This window comes from Homo sapiens, chromosome 12 (genome assembly GCF_000001405.40).
Source record: "Homo sapiens chromosome 12, GRCh38.p14 Primary Assembly".
NCBI classification, from domain to species: domain Eukaryota; kingdom Metazoa; phylum Chordata; class Mammalia; order Primates; family Hominidae; genus Homo; species Homo sapiens.
In genome coordinates, this window is record NC_000012.12 from 89,009,131 (window position 1) to 89,028,535 (window position 19,405).

General features: G+C 37.5%; 1 long non-coding RNA gene and 1 pseudogene across 1 annotated transcript; one reads left to right on the top strand and one right to left on the bottom strand.

The window, feature by feature from the left end:
- Positions 1–1,995: 1,995 nt before the first annotated feature.
- On the bottom strand, positions 1,996–10,562 carry LINC02458 (long intergenic non-protein coding RNA 2458). The gene is made up of 3 exons (NR_038385.1): positions 10,423–10,562; positions 5,562–5,738; positions 1,996–4,187 (listed from the first exon to the last, which is right to left on the bottom strand). It is a non-coding gene; the product is annotated as a long intergenic non-protein coding RNA 2458 (long non-coding RNA).
- Positions 18,559–19,405, top strand: LOC100287355 (microtubule associated protein 1 light chain 3 beta pseudogene; annotated as a pseudogene).

The window sequence follows — 19,405 nt, forward strand, 5'->3', positions numbered from 1 at the left end:
CTAGGGTGGCAAAATAAAAACCCTCCCCTCTTCTCCACAAAAATATTTTTTTTTCCATTCAAGAGTAAAGTATTTATTTCTTCCTCTTTCCAGAAGAAAACATGGATGGATGTCCCATAAACTTCCAAACTTTATAACTTCAGGGTTCCTCTTCTCCTGTAGAGCCAACGCCACTGCACATGCAGTGACATCAAGCCCTCATTGTGTTGCTTTGTGAGAACGTGGCATGCAAAACTTGGTCAGATATAAAGTTATATATATATTACACACCTCACACATGTGTGCATGCACACACACACATAAATATATATACATAAGCATATATACATATTGTGGAGGGCTAACTTTGTAGCTTGCAAATACAGTAATATCTCAGATCTTTCACAGTTTGGACTTAGCATTTTCAGTGTACTTGCTTGGAGGAAAGAGGAATAGGTAGCGTGAACTAGTGTGGTTATGTTTTCTATTCAGATACTTTGAGGTCAGAGGTCACACACCAAACTAAACTGCCCAAAGGAAGCATTGTGAGACATTGGGCACATGTAGGGCAGTGTCTTCCAGGCTCAGGTTCAGGCAATACATTTATCATTGAGCAGCAAAGGATGATATTCTCCTTATTTCTGCACAAAAGCCAGACCATTCTGGTTTCTCAAAACAGAACAATTATGGCACATTTGAATATAGCATGTTTGAAAAAGCTGTTTTTTTCCAGCCTTTTACAGAAAGACCAGGGTTGTATAAAGACTAGGGGTCCTGCCTGCTGCTTGCAAATTTCTGGCAGCCCTGACTTCCCTGGCTTCTGACCTGCCACTTGTCCATGAATTTTCTCTCACTCCTGAGTCCCTCTCGGTGATTACTGCCTTTGGATTTTGGTTCCCTTTGACTTTACTTCTCCTGGGGCTATGGATTCTTTAGTGTTCTCTCCTTGGCTTTAAGTACTGCATTCTACCACTACCTCCATTCCAATGCTACACCCTACTTCCACCCCATGCAGAGTGCAGTGCCCTGGGCCTTGGCCTGTCTAGTAGGAGGCACTAGACAGAAATTACTAAGTGAGATTGTGTGTCTGGCTAGCAGTGCCTTGCTAGGTGACCAAGGCCAAGTCACTTACCTATCTGAGGTTCAATTGTCTCATTTATTTAATCCAGCCTCAGGAACTGGATTAAACCATCAATAAAGAGGCCATTGTTATGCCTCAGACAAATGATGATGGGTTTGCCAAAACAAATGCAGCTACGGTCACTTCAATACACAACAAACCAAGCTGCATCATGAGCTATTAGACTCTCACTTACACTGGGAAAGAGGGAGATTCCAGGAGAGTGAAGAAGAAAAATAATAGCAGAGAGAAGAGTTAAGTGCACCAAGAAAGAACATCAATGTTTCAAACCACATCTTGAGCTGTCCATTTTTTCTCAATAGTTTCCCTTAGGCCAATCACCAACTTGCCTTGGGAAGTGAATTGGCTCCATGGCAACAAGAAAAATGATACCTGAGGAAAATTTTGCAAAGCTAAACCCAAGAGAAACAATGCCAAGCAAACATTAAATATTTTCAAAAGCATTTTATTCTGCCCATGGTAATTTCCTGAGTATATATTGCAAGATCAATGCCCTCTATGACTCCTCTGAATACCCTCCTCACTGTGTTCCATTGTAGAAGGATCTTAAGTCATACAGACCCCAAAACTCTGTTCTACAGAACATCAACATCTACAAAAACAGTTTAGTATATAATTCCATGGGTGGGGAAAGGATTATGTGATAATAGATGCTGAAAAACGCTAAAGTTTTTGGGATTCACAATGCACCTTAGCCCGCTAAAGAATCTGAAAAGACTTTCAGGGAAAAACTTGTATAACTTATCTGGGTTCCGTATATGCTACTAGATCCCTAGAACTCTTCCATTTCACAGGAACATATATTTTGAGAAATTTTATTGTGGATGCTATATTAATTTTCTAAGGTTGCTTTAACAAATTAGCAACAATTGGGTGGCTCAAAACAACAGATATTTATTCTGTCACAGTTCCAGAGGCCAGAAGTCTCAAACCAAGGTGTTGGCAAGTGCACACTCCTTCCAAACACTAGGAAGGAATCCATTCCTTGCTTCTTCCAGCTTCTGATGGCCCCAGGGGCTCCTTGGCTTGTGGCTGCACCATTCAAACTTCTGCCTACATGGTCACATTGCATCCTCCTCTTCTGTTTCTCTCCACTTATCAGAATACATGCGATTGCATCTAGGGCCCTCTCAGACAATCCAGGATAAGCTCCTTGTCTCCATATCCATTTAAGGTCATATTTCTTCTTAACATGTAAGGTTATATTCACAGGTTCCAGGAATTAGGGTGCAGACGTATGTTTTCAGTGACCACCATTTAACACACTACACATGTTAATTGATAAACATCAAAGTATAACTTCAACTTGATTCAATTTAATTCTACTCAGCCATCATCTGATGAGCCTATAGTATGTGCCAAGCACTGTCTTAGGCCAGATCATAAAATGATTCAAAGCCTAATTATTACCCATAAGCAATTTACATCCCAATAGAGGAAATGGACATGACAGTGAACTAATACCATGCAGAGTGATAGGTGCTTATAAAGTTATAATCAAAGCAGAACTGAGGAAGGGATTACTTCTTCCTAGGGAAGTAGGGAGAGCTTTCCAGAGGAGGAGATCATTCCGTTGAGATTTGAAGAATGAGTAACAGTTCCCCAGGCAGAGCACCAAGGGAATTTCAGGTGGAGGAAACACCATGGTCAAACATACAGATCATGGTGATAGAAGAAACTTGTGAAGATAAAATGAAAAAATGCATGCAAAGCTACTAACACAATACTTGGCACTCAGCAACGTTACCTGTTTTTCCTAAACTAAAGAGGGTAGAAGCAGGAGATGAGGCTGAAGTCTTAGGCAGGCACCAGACTGCTCTAAACTTAGTTTGGTGTATTTGTGTCTTTATGTGTATCCGTATGAACATGGACAGGGCCATAGAGAGGAACTTAGAGAAGGTTCCATAAGAATGGGGTTTAGAAAATTACGTATGCGAATAGAAATAAAAACCAGTAAACTTCAGCCAATAGACATTTTGGAAGAAAAAGAATGGATTTAGTCAATAGCTAGATGGTTGGTTGACTGAATTTATTCATTAAAGCAAACAAACACACACGCACAATAGTTAGTCTGCAGATACTTCCACAGTAATTGGGGAGCAGTTGCATCACTTACATGGGACTTAATTTTTTTGGTCATGCCTCAGTATATGCTCTCAAAAGCCTCATGGAGCAGTGCTACGCCCAGTGTTGAGAGCCTGGCACTCAAATGGCACTTTAGAATGCTTGTTTCTAGTAATAGTCTCCACCTTGATGAATGGCCTTATTTTAATGACATTGGTATGTTGGCTGGGATGGAACTGGAGCTGGGTCTGCCAACCTCTGTTGCCAGTGAGACATTTCTCACCTGGTAACCATCATTTGCAAGGGCCTGGAGTTCATGAAGCTAAATTTTGATAGAAACAACTGAGTTTTCCCATGAGTCCTTGGGTGACCTTTTAGGTCTCAGCTCAAATTTCATTTCCTCAGAGATCTCCATTCCATCTAAAATAGCCCCACTCTGAGTGCAGTTTATCTTTACTACTGCACTCTGTGCTTTACCCAAACTACACCTATCACAGTCTACAATATCCGGTTCATTCATGTTTTCATGTGTTTATTTTTACTTTCTCATCTACTAGAATGTAAATTCTGAGGCCAGTACCTCCTCTGTCTTGTTCAACTTTATAGTCCCTACACATAGAATGGGACCTGGCATAGTTGTTGGTCAATAAATATTCCTCAAATAAATGAGTGAATGAAGACTGGAATCAGGGAATAATTAAACCGAAAAGGGGTCAGAATGGATGCTATAGGAAATAAAAGGTAATGAAATATTCCCTTTTAGGAATTGGATCAACCACTTCAGAATAAGTAACATAGCACAGAAAAAAATTAGATGTAAATGGTCATTCATAGAATGGGCTCTCACTTGAACTTTTTGAAGGAGTTCCCACAATAACTTTACCTTTGACATTTAACAATTGTCCATATTCTGTTTGTGAGGAATGTTTTGTACAGGGAAGAGCCAGACTGGATCCTCAAAATCTGATCTTCATGATGCAAACAAACTTCTGGGGGCATTTTTCTAAAAAATAAAAGAAAGAGTTCATCTTACTTTTATAGATAGAGATTAAACAGTATTGCTTGATTAAACAGTATTAAGATAGAGATTAAACAGTATTGCTTGACTCCCATAAATAAATGCAAATCATACTTACTGAAACTGAAAAAGAGTAAGTTCTAAATTGATTATTTAACTAAGATATTAGGAAGCAGTGAGTATTTCAAAACATGTCCCAAGTTTCTGACGTAGAGGAATTAGCCTCTAGGAGCCTGACATTTTATGAGTGACTGCGTTAACCTAAGTGACAATTGAAGATCATGGAGCTGCACAGAGGGAGAAGAAAAATAATGGCACAACTTGCCCTCAGGAAAGTAATTTATTCCAAGAACAATTCTAGAAGATTATACTTAAAATATGCTGTGGCTATCCCAAACATGAGATGGTAGATAATTACAGGCAGTAAAGATTAACCAAAAGTAAAGTCATACAAGATGGACGTCATTTCTACTTTTATGAGAGTTGCTTGTATCTCTCCTCATATTGTGACTTTAAGCCTCTGAACTTGACCCTGTCTTCTGGGATTATGCCTAAAGATTGGGTCCTTGGCCAAGCAAGGCAGGCTTGAGACAATTACACCAGAAGGTCAAGCTTCTTTCATAGGAATTTAGCAAGGCTTTAACCACTTCTCATGAATAGTTTTAGGCAAAATTAAGGCATGTAGGTTGTTGGATTCATTTCTTTGAATAAATCCACTCAGCAAAATATTAAGTAATATATTAGGTGTCAAAACGTTGGAGAGATCTGTACTACAGAACCTCAGCTTTCTGAACTTGACCCCCTTCTATCCAGTATGTTTAATGAACATATAAATGAAGACACAGACAGCGTGTGTACCAATCTTGCAGACACCAGAAAACTAGAGTACCTTCTCAGGTATTAATCAGCATTCAAAAAACTGGCAGAAGGGTCAAAACTGAACAATTCAATGCTTCAGTTTAAGGGAAACGTTTAACTGCAGGTTAAATAGAACAGATCTGACTAAGCAACAGTTCTTGGGGAAAAAAGACAAAGAGTTTTAGTTACCTGCAAATTCCATATGAACTAGAAGCAACGGGGCTTGTAGAATAAAGTATGCATTCACAACCATCCAGCACTGTAATTTCAAAGCTAAATAAGACCAAGCCTGGCTTAATTAATATTTTTGAGTGAACGAACAAAGGAACAATTTAATAAATGAGATAACTAAAAAGTAATTTTAAGGTTTTACTAGGCAAAACTGGTCAAAGAGTTTTATCAAGTATTTCTTCACAATTGTAGCTGTAAATATTTGATAGGTTGCTTTATAAAGTAGTAAACTCCACAAAGTTGGCCTTATAAAAGTAAATGGTGCCCTACCTTACAAAGAAGCTTTGAATTGCACAAGGGAATTGGGCCGGATGACTTCCAATGCTCTCTCCATCTTAGGATTCTCTTGAAATATTTTTCACCGAGAGATGGTAGAGATGACATCCACAAAAGAAGGGATTTCTTTTTCCAGACCAGAAGGGAATCTGGTGAGCACTCTTCTTCACCCTAGGACAAAAAGAAAGGGAGAGAGAGAGAGAAAAAAAAATATATGGGTTAAGTTACAATGACCTAGATAAAATCCTAGCTCTTCCACCATAGAATTGTAAACTTTGAACCTGTTAGTTATCTCTCTAAGTAAGTCCAGGTCTTCTCATCTATAAATTGGGAATAATATTATTCCTAGACAAGATGGTGTCCTGGCAGAAGAAGATAAAGAATATAGCATCTAGTATTAACTAAATGTGCAACGGCTAGTGTTCGAGGTGAAATCTATGTGTTCAAGCATAGGTCATGGCTGAGTGAGTCCCTGGGGGGCAGTTATTTGTCTCTTGTCCTGCCCTTCTGGAAAAAAATGCATCAAATTGCATTTATTTTGTATGTTGTACATCCTATTATAGATATTTCTTTCTTTCTAAGATTGGCTTAGCTTTTCTCATTTGCCTCCTATAAAGGCCTTGATCTTTAAAACATAAACACACACAAAGAGACAGAGAGAAAGAGACAGGTAGAGAGAGAGAGAGAGATTTTTTGAAACCCTGAAGTTAATTTTATTTTGGAAATAGATGTGCTCACCAAGTCAAGCCAGTCACAGATAAGCATTTCCCTCAATCATTTACAATTAAAATTTCCTCAAAACTAAGATTCAGACTATATTTGCAAGGTTGCAAAGATACGGTTTCTCTTGGGCACACAGATTTTGCAACTCAGCAAGCTTCAGAGGAATACCTGAAAGTTAATCACACCTTGGATATACTTTTGCATTTCCTTTGCATGAGCAGTACATTTTGAAAAACAAGAATCAGCATATTTGCTAGGTAAAATACAAAATGTTTTTAAAATATAGTTTCTGTTAAACATCTCACAAGTCCTTCTGAGATCATTTTCAGAGTGATGAACTCCTCTTAAGACAGAAATATAGTAAGTTGTCTCCAGAAGAGAATAACTAAATTTCATGTACATTGACACAGAGAGCCACAGAGGGGAAGATAAACAATATCGCTATCATGCTAAGCAACTGCATGGATCAACACTCCCTTCAACTCTCCTCTCATTACTGAGAGACTGTTTTTGCTGTGAAAGTGCACACCGTTCTGAAATTCCAGGTAAATGGAATCAGCTGTCATGGCAGAAATAAAGGACAAGGAAATTGACGTTTGTTGGCACTGTGCAAAGCACTGTGTTTTCTAATTTAATCCTCAGGACAAATCGATGAGGTAAGTTGCATTGGCCTCATTGTAAAGATAAGTTATTTGAGGGCTGCTGAGGTTAAGTGACTTTTTCAAACCAGGCTGACTTTTCAACTCACTGTGACTTTTCTTACTCACTGTGGTGAATAAGCATAAGAAAATATTCATCCTTAGATTCATTACTGATTTTTTTTCCTGCCGTTGAAATAATTATTTTACTTTGCATCGAACATCTTTGAGTCTATTGTCAGGTATTTCTCATCCACATTTTTATTTTAAAATCGGGGCTAATGCAATTCCATTCCTAGATATTTTCTTAAAGAATTGAAAACAGATACTCAAATAAGTAAATGTAACTCATGCTCACAGCAGCACAATTCACGATTGCCAAAAGGTAGAAACAGCCTTAATGTTCATCAACAGATGAATAGATAAACCGACTGTGGGACATATATATATTCTGTTGTGTATATATCTACAAAATAGAATAATATTCAGCCATAAAAAGAAATGAAGTACTGATAACATGCTACGATATGGCTATATCTACAAAACATGTTGAATGAAAGAAGCGAAACACAAAACATCACGTATTGTATGATTCCATGTATGTGAAATACTGTATCCAGAATTGATAAATCTATAGAAACAGAATGCAGATTGACAGTGGTCAGGGCTGTGGAGGAAGGGGTAACAAGAAAAAACGCTTGATGGGTAATGGACTTTACTTTGGGGTGATGGAAATGTTTTGGAACTAGATAGAAGTAGGTGATGGTTACACTGAGTTGTCGACCTTAAAATGATTGATTTTATGTTTTATAAATTTCATCTCAGTGAAATTTAAATCAATTATAAATTGATCTTTTAAAGTCAGAACTAATGACCTTTCATCCAAGATTGCTGCTGAGGGCTCTTCTGTTTTTTCTTTTCTAGATGGAGTCTTACTCTGCCGCCCACGCTGGAGTGCAGGAGCGATCTCGGCTCACTGCAACCTCCGCCTCCGGGATTCAGGCGATTCTCCTGCCTCAGGCTCCCTAGCAGCTGGGATTCCAGGTGTGCGGCACAGTGCCCGGCTAATTTTTGTATTTTTAGTAGAGATAGAATTTCGCCACGTTGGCCAGCCTGGTATTGAACTCCTGACCACAGGTGATCCATCCGCTCAGCCTCCCAAAGTGCTGAGATTACAGGAGTGAACCACCGCGCCCAGCAGCTGAGGGCATTTTCTTTGTTGAGGAAAGTAATAGTGATGATCAGATTTGTAATTTTCCTGTATTAAATGCCTAGAACTCTACAGTCAACAGATGGCGCTCTAGTTCCAATTGTTACAGAAGTTCTCTGCCCATCCGCAAGCAAAGCGTTGTTTTCATCAGTGAAAAGAGAATAAACACTGTGCTTTAACTTTTTTACGTAGCTAAAGAAAATAAATAAAGCGTCTTAATTCCTTTCAGAGATTACTTTCAACTCAATTATGAAGTTAATATTAGACAGCGACTTTTAGAACAGAAGTCATACTTGAAAATATTATGCATATCAAAACAGCAGATAGAGTTTTAAAAAGCAAGAGTTTTACAAGCAGATAGACCTGGATTCTAATTTAAACCCTACCATTTTCTCACTGTGCGTCCTTGAGCAATTTGCTGAAACTCTTTGAATCTCAGTTTCCTCTTCTGCAAAATTTTGACAATAATACCTACTTCTGAAGGTAGTTTTGACAATTAGAAATAATGTCACATGCTTTGCAAAACATTTAGTATGTAGTAACTACTCAGAAAGATATAGCTATTCTAATTAGTGACAGAGAACATACAAACATACAGGTAGGATTTCTCTGCCTTAGATCATATGTGTTTAAATGAGTTTGAAGCATCAGAGATCTAGTTGTAAATTCTGAGTAAGCTGAAAGTGTTATACGGTTATGCTTTCTCTAAACCAATCATTGAAGTGATGCCATATTAATATGGCAGAAAGTTTGTAATATATTTTTAGGTAGAGAGAAAAAAACAGATTATAAAATGGTAATATAGTGTCATCCCAATTTTGTTTAAAAACAGTATACATCTAGTAAGATATAAACCAAAATGTTAAGGTTAGTTATCACTGGTTTATGAGACTATAGTTTATTTCTATATTTTTAACACTTTTCTGCATTTTTAATATTTTCTATAATAAATAAGTATTCATTTTTCATGACAAAAAGAAATGTCATGTAATAATATGAAGTCAAACATATATCAAATATTGATACTGCAAAAGTTTTCTTTTGTGAACCAGTTGAATCCATAGAAGGACCGCTCTCAGAGCTCAAACACAGTGCTCCAGGGTGCTACCTGCTGCTTAGAATTCTCCATAGGAGAAACGAGAAAAAGAAAAACCAAGCCCAGTTATGCTTCTCTGTGCCAGTTTTTCAAGCCAGCATATATAGAAGTATCTAGAAGATATACAAATGATTAGGAAACAGGAAGTTCAGCCAGCCACATTATTTAGGATCATGTCAAATACATCCCTAAAAATTAAAAAGTAATAATGATTTCCGTATTTCTTATTAATCTTAATTCGTGAGACAAGGCCTTTGTATCAATTCATAATAAATTTAGGAGTATTCGTGAAAAATTTTAAATACAATATATACTTTGACCAGCAACCCCACTTCATGGACACTGACCTACAGAAAGACACATTTGTGTACCAAGTTTCATGGCCAAGAATTGTACAGGAAAACATTGTAAGAACAAAGATTTCCACTAAAGGGGAAATGATTTTAACATTATGAGACATTTATACTATGTAATGCTATCCATCTGCCAAACAGAATGCTATAGACTTCTACATATGGACATGGAATGATCTCCTACACGTATTAACTGTAAGAAAAATAAGCAAATTCAAGAACTATTTCCCAAAGAAACCCCTTTTATGTTTTAATAAATCTATATGTGTGTATAGATTTGTATATTTATATATGTAAATACATAGAAATATTGAAAAGGTCTAGAAAGATACATACCCAGTTATTAACAATGACTATGTCTAGGAAAGGTCGTTTTTAAAACTTTATATTTTCTGAATTGTTTTAATTCCTTCATACACACACATTTCCATTTATAAACTTGAATTCAGTTGAACTCTTGGCAGGGATGGAAGACATGGTGTCCATCTAGCCACAGAGACATAACTGATAGCTCAGACTGGTAGGAGAATCAATTAACGCACTCATTCAACAAACATTTATTGAATATTTACAAGATGCCAAGCCTATGCTAGAAACTGTAGGTGCAAAAATGAAAATAGTAAAACATTGTCTCTGTCTTCAAATTTTCCACGAAGGTATACATACCTCATTAAAAAAATCTGGATTTTCACTTGTTCTTTATCTTATATGTTTTTTATAAAGTTAGTAGAAACAACGGTTTCTTAGTGTTGCAGAAAACGCAGTAATGAATCATTAACAATGAATCATTAACAATGAATCAACAGTGGCTCGAGGAAACATCTTTATGACTTACATCATTAAGATTTGAAGAATTGATTCTGCTCCCACCTCCTAACATATACCCTTCTACCCCTAAGCTCACGGTTGATGCCAAAATCTCTTTATTGTGAGTTACACGGAGACAGGAGCAGCGACGCAAGCTACGTGAAGTCTACTAAATCCACTGTTGCCCTCTCGGTAAACCAGTATGAATGCAGCAACAGGAAGGACCACAAGATGGCAGACTGGAAACGAGTCATGGAGCCTACAGCAGGCGATGAGGTGCTACAGCCAGTGGAATCCCGTAGCCCTGGCATCTGAAGAGAGACTGGGAAGGGCTTTATAGATCTGTTGAACGGAGGGATCAGAGCGAAGAACAATTTTGGCACCACTCTAGTGCTTGCTCACATCTCTTAGTGTTCTATTTAGTTGTTTTTACCATCTAAAAAACAAACCATGTTCATCTCTTCTTCCCACCCCAAATAGATAGTCATACTCATCAAAATCAATCATAGCTTTCTATTTTAGTATGATTGAGTAGCAGAATTTTTAAATTGGACAGGATCTCCCCAAATTTGAGGATGAGGTGCTTCATGCATAGGGAGGAGGCAGAAAGATAGATAGGGACCTGGTGGGACAAAGAAGCACAAGTCCACATTGTCATAAGGAAAGGCTCTTTTCATGATGTATGGGGACTAGGGTTGAGAAATTATTTTCAGGAAGTTGTGTGAGTAAGGCCAAAACTGTAATTTTCCAGACTTTATACCTGTGCATGCAGAGACACATAGGTAAAGATGTTGAGTAATGTGAAAGTGTACATTGGTGCTGCTGTTCTTATTTAAGCAGATAAAGTATCTACATAACCTATGATCCAGCCATTTCATTCCTGGGCATATATCTCAAATAAATCCTCACACAGGCTTGCAAGCATATATGCACAAAGATGACAGTGTGGTTTGTAGTGTCCAGCAACTGGAGGTAACCTGGGTGCTCATAATTGGGAGAGTAGATAAGTAAGTGGTGGCTTACAGATATTTACAGGATCATGCATAAAAGGGCAAATGGCCAAGCAGCACATATTTTGACCTGCCAACACGGTGTTGACCAGGATGGCTCTTGGAGACAGAAGGAGCAGACATCTGGGACCTCCAATATTGTCCTATCATACTCTGAGACAGTGCACAGCAATCTGGCAGGGCCAACTGTCTGACTCTAGGAAAAGGACATTGAACCTTGAGCTAGGAGGTTTGAAAGCTGTGATTGAGGTGGCATTGGCCTCTTTTGAAAAGCAAAATCCCAAAGTGTATTTTGAGAACATTGATAATTTGTTGTCAAGACAAGTTGCATAAAAAGCCGGCCCGGCACGGTGGCTAATGCCTGTAATCTTAGCACTTTGGGAGGCTGAATGGGTGGATTGCCTGAGCTCAGGAGCTCAAGACCAGCATAGACAACATGGTGTAACCCTATCTCTACTAAAATGCTAAAAAATTAGCCTGGCATGGTGGTGCGGGCCTGCAGTCCCAGTTACTTGGGAGGCTGAGGCATGAGAATCACTTGAACCCGGGAGACGGAGGTTGCAGTGAGCCGAGATCACACCACTGCACTCTATCCTGGGCCACAGATCAAGACTCTGTCAAAAAGAGAAAAAAAGGCAAAAGTAGAATAATTAATACTGTGTGGTATAGACACAGAGTCAAATTTATTGACCAGAACAGAATAGACATCAGGAAGAGAGTACACCTGTGAAAAACTAAATGCACAAAAATACAGAAGTCTGACATTGCCAGACATTGGTAAAGATTTGAATGAATGGATATTAATACACTTCTGATGGGAACACACATCAAATTAATCGCTTTGGAAAACAGTTTGACACCTTCATATCAAGTTAAATAGTTTACATGCAAAGACCAAGCAATTCCACTCTTAGGTACCCTAGAAACTAGAAGAATTGTTGGGCATGTATACCAAGAGAAATGAATAAAACATGTATCACAGTATCCTTCGTATCAGTAAAAATTGAAAAGAAAAAAAGAAAAACCTTCCAATTTCCAACAACAAGAGAGTGACTAAATGAATTATATTATAGAATAATTATGCAGTGGAATATTACACAACCTAAAAATGAATGAACTAAAGCTACTCACAAGCATAGAAAGACATTTTAGAAACATAATGTGAAATGAAATAAGTCACAGAAGATGACATATAGCATGATACAAATAGAATGTTCAAAATCAAGCAAAAGTATACAATGTTATTGTTGGGGAAACATTAACTAAAAAGAACTAAACTACTTCTAAAAATGTAAGAGAATGACAAGCATAAAATTTAGGAGAGGAGTTAGTTACCTCTTAAAACGGAGGCACAGGCTGGGCTTGGGGACAATCACATTCCTGCAAGGGCTGACTGAGGTAAGATCAGTGATGGAGTCACAGATATGCCTTATATAACTTATGTAAATGTTATTGTGATTTTTATACATTAGTTATTACATTAAAAATGTTAACATATGTATTAAAAGTAAAAAATAAAATCCAGACATTAATGACAGGATGTATTCAGGCATGTTTAGCAGTTCACTTTTCTCCTGTATTTATTTCCTTTAATACTTCCTTAAATGTACAAGGGTTAAACATCATGCTCTTCAGATTCTTTCTCACAGGTATTCTGTCAAAGACGAACAGGGGTAGATTTGGAGAAAAAAAAGGAAAATCAAAGAACACTTCCGGGTACAATAGGGCCCTGAAGAAACAAGCTTTAATCTGTCACTATGGTAAAGGTGAACTTCAGATAGTAAAGAGAACTTCATTTTCTCTTTACATCACTTTGTCTGATTGAAAAATTCCACTTACATATGTTTTAGTCATTCAAACTAGCCCATCAATTTAAGGGTAAGTTATGAGGTCCTGCTATTTGTAAAATTTTAACTTGCAACAGGATATCTCTGCTAGCCTACAGAGTAGAGCATGGGCAGATTTATGCATTATTGGTTTGTGTCTGCTGCCCATAATTTAACAAAACTTACTTAAAATTCTGAAGGACTACTGAACAAAATGTGCTTGTCTTTGGATAACATAAAATTTAAATTCTCATTTTAAGTATTTAGCCTATTGTTTTTTAATGTTTGACACCTTAGACCCTTGTAATTTTGCAAAGACTCGCATACATTTGGATCAAAAGCAATTCGGCTAACTTTTTATTTTGTATAATATCATTCTCAGCCATATTTACTTCTTAAGTCATGTTTTTCCTGAATACCAGACTTCTTTAGTAGACGCTAAGGAATGAAAGCATGATATAAAGAACACAGGATTTAGAGTGTAAGGACATGAGTTTAAGTCTGACTTACTAAATGGTTCAAGTTTCTTGGCCTTTCTGGGCTTCAATTTACTCATCTGGAAAATGAAGAAAATAATTGCATTAGTCAAGATTTTTTGTGTGTGCAATTCAATTCAATTTGTTTGTCAATTCAATTCAAGATCACTTAAAAAACAAATTCAGGAACTTCACATTGCTGGAAGTTCAGTAGTCAATGCAATTAGATCTAGAACATCATAAGTCTCTTTCCCCATCTCTATTTTCTGCCTCTCTCCAAATACTCACATTTTTATTCAAACAAACTCTCATCATTTGGTGGGAAAAACTACTTCTAATTGACCTAGAGTCACATTCTTCCAGTTCAGCCAATTCAGGAGGATTTTTTTTTTTTTAAAAAGGATAATTCTCTCACCCAACATCAGATTGATCATTTTAATGCTCATTTCTAAGCCAATTACTGCTCCAAGAACTATAGGCTGTTATAACTGGTCTACCTGAGCTCACATGCTCACCCCTGAGAACAAAGCAGTAGATATACTAATTGACAGACTCACCAGGGCCACTCGTTTTGGACAAGAACAGATCCCCACAGCAGGCAGAAGTGATGTAGAGCTGAAACTCAATTTTCCACTACAGTAGTAATTTCTCTAGCTAGAGTGTTACAATGACTGAAAATTTGGGACACAGCACTTTTTATATTGTAGAATACATTACATCTTTGGTTAAGGTGATTTTTTAATTTAAAAAAGTATGAAAATATTCAAAGAGAGAACATAAGATCCTATTAAAGTAAGGCATCTGTTCAAAACAAGTCATTTATTGTGTAAGATTAGACAAAAGGCTATATATTTACAAAGCAAATTATATAAAAATGAAGGAAATAAATATTAGTTTTATGTTTAATATAGATTTTTTTGAGAAATAAAAGTCATCATAAAATCTCCAGTGACTTTAAGTGCCCACAATAAACTAAATGTCTAATTTTCTATCGAGAACTAAATGTGCTCAGGGGTGTGAACATGTCATGATTGCTTAGCTTAATGGGTGGGAAGTAAATGCACTCTTAACTAGAGGGAAAATTTTTTCTAAAGATCATTGCAACATTTATAGAACTACACACAATTTTATAAAATTGAATGGTTGGAAGTAACCTGCAAAGTTCATCATCTTTGCTATGGCTTTAGAATGACAATCAATGAAATATTAAAAACTATTTTGAAATAGATTTTTTAAATGTCTTCCAGGGAGACCCTCTCTGGGGAACCTATGTTTCATACAATAAATCGAACTCCATCTTCACCTCTTCCCTTCCAGTAGCCAGGAAATAATTGGATTACACTACAGCTCCCAGGGCAGTGGTTCTCAAACTGGATTATTCATCAGAATCACTTGGGAAACTTCATAAAATATAGACTTCCAGTCCTACTCTAGACATACCGAACCAGGGTCCAGGAATCAGTCCTTTTTAAAAGCCTCCCTAAAGTGTCAGTCTGGAGCTACTTTGATCTATGCACTGGCTTTGGGGAATCACAGAGTTTAGGACTCTAAATAATAAATATATATATACATATATATATATATATATATATATATATACACACACACACACATATTATTCAAGGGATATATATGCAGGTTTGTTACATGGGTATACTGCATGATGCTGAGGTTTGCGACATGAATTGTCCCATCATCTTGGTAATGAGCATAGTACCCAATAAGTAGTTTTTCAGTCCATGCCCTGCTCTACCCCTCCCCATTCTAGTAGTCCCTAGTGTGTACTGTTCTTATCTTTATGTCCACGTGTATTCAGTGTTTAGCTCCACTTATCAACGAGAACATGTGGTATTTGGTTTTCTGTTCCTGCATTAGTTCACTTAGGATACTGGCCTCCAGCTGCATCCGTGTTGCTGCCAATGACCTGACTTCATTCTTTTTTATGGCTGCATAGTATTCCATGGTGTACACATCCACTTTTTCTTTATCCAATCCACCATTGATAGGCACGTATATGGATTCTATGTCTTTGCTATTGTGAATAGCATTGTGATAAACATACAAATGCAGGCATCTTTTTGATAGAATAATTTATTTTCCTTTGGATTTATTCCCAGTAATTGCTTTGAGCACTATGGCCATTTTGAGGATATTGATTCTTCCAATTCATGAGCATGGAATATTTTTCCATTTCTTTGTGTTGTAGGACTAAGGAGGTATTTGATCATGACTCTAAGATGTCATCGTCAAGAGAAATGTATCTCCTATTTTATCAGGTACTGGGAGAGAAACAAGCAAGCTGTTTTTACTTTTCTTGTTTTTTCTTTGAGACAGGATCTCACTGTGTCATCCAGATTGGAGTGCAGTGGTGTGATCACAGCTCACTGCAGCCTCGATCTCCCAAGCTCAAGTGATCCTCCCACCTCAGCCTCATAAGTAGCTGGGACTAAAGGCATGTGCCACCACACCCAGCTATTTTTTTTTAATTTCTTCAGAAAAACGAAGTCTCACTATATTGCCTAGGCTGGTCTCAAACTCCTGACTTCAAGAAATCCTCCTGCCTCAGGCTCCCAAAGTGCTAGGATTACAGGCATGAACCACCACTCCCAGCTATGTTTTAATTTTTGAAGTTCTAACTATATGAAGGAAGTCTGTGACTCTCTCCATTTTCTAATTTTACCTTCAGAATATTGATGTTAATATTATGAATATTGACTATTAAAATATTGATATTGGTATCCAATTCTAAAACCTCTACAGGCAATAAATTTTCTGTTACATGCTCTGGATGTTTGAAAGTGCTACAAAAAGAGATGGAATTATCAAGAAGAGACGAAACAATAAGTAGACAAGTTCCCCTCATTTCATAATAGAGAGAATTTCCTGAATTTATTAAGAGTGGTTCCATCCTTTCTGAAAAGGTTATCAGTTCACATCCAAATGGGAAACTATCATGAAGTTATTAAGTACATGATGCTGAAGAATTTTAAAGAGATCAAGCCATGTAAAAGGTTTTTTATCCTGCTTTTCTCTGTTTGCAATACATTATAAACATTTTCCATGCAGTTATAATTCTTCATGTATACGTTGGAATGTACATGGCATATATGCATATGCATATACATAATCTATATATAAATGCATCAAAATACTAGCATGTTAGCAATAGTGGGATTAAAAATAATTTTAACTTTATTCATTTTTGTGTTTTTCAACCTTTCTACAAAAATATATTAAAGAATTAAAGAAAAATACATGCTTTATAGCTTTTTAAAATAAAGAATAAAAAAAGCCTTTTTTCTCAAGGCTGGTAAAACAAAGCATAGAGTACCTTATACATAGAAAAATAAAGTATGAATCTTTACCTAATAGGGAAAGTTTCCAGGAGAAATTAGGAAGGACCACTTACTATCTGTTTCTAATTGGAATTTATATCCAGAATCAGCCCCTATATTAATTCTCTTTTAGTAACTTTCTAATATTTCTAATGGGATGTATTACTTTATAAACAAGAAAAACACGATTTTTAAAAACTTGAAATCACAACTTTTGCATTAAAAGGAACTGTTTCACACTGGATTATTCTGTTACTGGAGATGCAACACCGTTACCTCTTGCTCTTACTCTGTTATTGTATCTCTTGGTATGGTTCTTATATTTTGCTTTTTCTTTATTATGGAGTTCCTCTTTTTAGAATTTTGGCACAGTTTTACTGTGATCTGCTCCAGAATACAAATCTGTGCCCTACATTCAATAGTATCCATTCTCAGCAAAAGCCTAACCAGACAATCTCATAAGAGGATGAATTCCTACCAATCACTTGCGTAGGAGATTAAGAGATAGCACTTACTTCTTTTTCTTTTTCTTTCTTTCTTTCTTTTTTTTGGGGGGGGGTTGGGGGTGGGGGGACGGAGTCTCGAGTCTTGCTCTGTCGCCCAAGCTGCAGTGCAGTGGCCCGATCTCCACTCACTGCAACCTCTGTCTCCTGGGTTCAAGCGATTTTCCTGCCTCAGCCTCTCGAGTAGCTGGGATTATAGGCACGTGCCACCATGCCCAGCTGATTTTTGTATTTTTAGTAGAGACGGGGTTTCACTATCTTGGCCAGGCTGGTCTTGAACTCCTGACTTCAGGTGATCTGCCTGCCTCAGCCTCCCAAAGTGCTGGGATTACAGGTGTAAGCCACCACGCCCGGCCCTAGAGATAGCACTTATTTCTGATAGCCAAGCAACAGCCTTAATATATCTAATCATGGCACTCAATGAGGTAATTGCTTTGAGTTCTACTACTGGAAACACTTCAATATGCAGAGATTCACTGAGTGCCTCAGGTAAGACATGACTGATGAGAAGTACTTATTACCACATCCAAATGGACGAGGTATGGTTTCATCATCATCATCACCATCACCACCACCATCTGTTTTGCACATTGCTACATCTCAAGTGCAAAGAAGAGATACTCAATGATTTCCTGCAAAGACTCACCTGGCAAGTAATATACATTAATATGAACCATCTCCCACCCATCTTCATGAAAGCAATTGATATAATGTTTGACTAACTCTCTTTCTCATATAATTCAAGTACTTGTTCTAACACTTTTAAAGTATCTACTCTGGCACTTATCAGCTAACTGGGGAGGGAAAGGGAGAACAAGAAAAAGATAACCGTGATAGGCAGATTGGGATGCAAGAATAGACCAGGTAGTACATAGTTCAGCTGTTTAGCAAAGGAATTGACTGTCCCAAGTATTAGCAAAAGAATTGATTGGCCCAAGTAAGACTCACCACTGTTGACCCCTTGAGCAGCTGGGAGCATTCACTCGCCTGTTCCTCAGTTCAGTCTCCCGTGCCATGGCAGGGGAGAAGCCCTTCAAGCAGCTTCATAACAAAGAGTCAGTGTTTGCTTTATCTGAGGGCAACATCCTACCACAATTCCCATAATAAATAGACTGCACAAGAGTGAGAAGCAGCTTCTTGTGCTAGATAAAACCAAGTTCCTGATACCTGATCACATCTGCATGAGTAAATTGACAAAGGTTCTTTGCTTGGCCAAACTTTAATCAGGCCTTTGAACCTTCTCCTAGGCCCATCTGTGCACTTCCTTGTAAAATACAGTGTTAGCAAAGAGCCCTCTTAAGTCAGCTTAGCAAGACTCTCCCCACCCTCAGTATCTGATTACCTTTGATATCTGATCAGGTTCCTTATCCTCCACCATCCCTCAGGTGATGTTTGATCACCCTGGCCTGTCTTCAGGAAGAATCCTGTTAGGTCGGTTTAGTCAGAATCCCCCTTACCCTGATGTTTCCCCTAGTAACTGTCCATCCATTACCCCACACCCTGCTCTATGGCTATAAGTTCCCACTTGCCCATGCTGTATTCAGAATTGAACCCAATCTTTCTCTTCGTGTGCAAGACATCTTTGCAGTGGTCCCTGTACCTATTTCAATGGTCCTGATACAGGTTTCCTTCCCATAATTTAACAAGTATTATTGATTTTTTTTTCTTTAACAGAACTCATTAAGACAATTAGAAGGCACTTACAACTCAATGCTAATCCAATCTTCTTCCTGTTGATGAACAAAGTATGGTGGGCATTTTCTCACTGATTTTTGAAGCATATGAATCTAAGAAGGATGGAGATGGATTCCTGTATGTGCTATATGCCTCTCAGGAGATACTTGGAATAAAATAGTCTGTG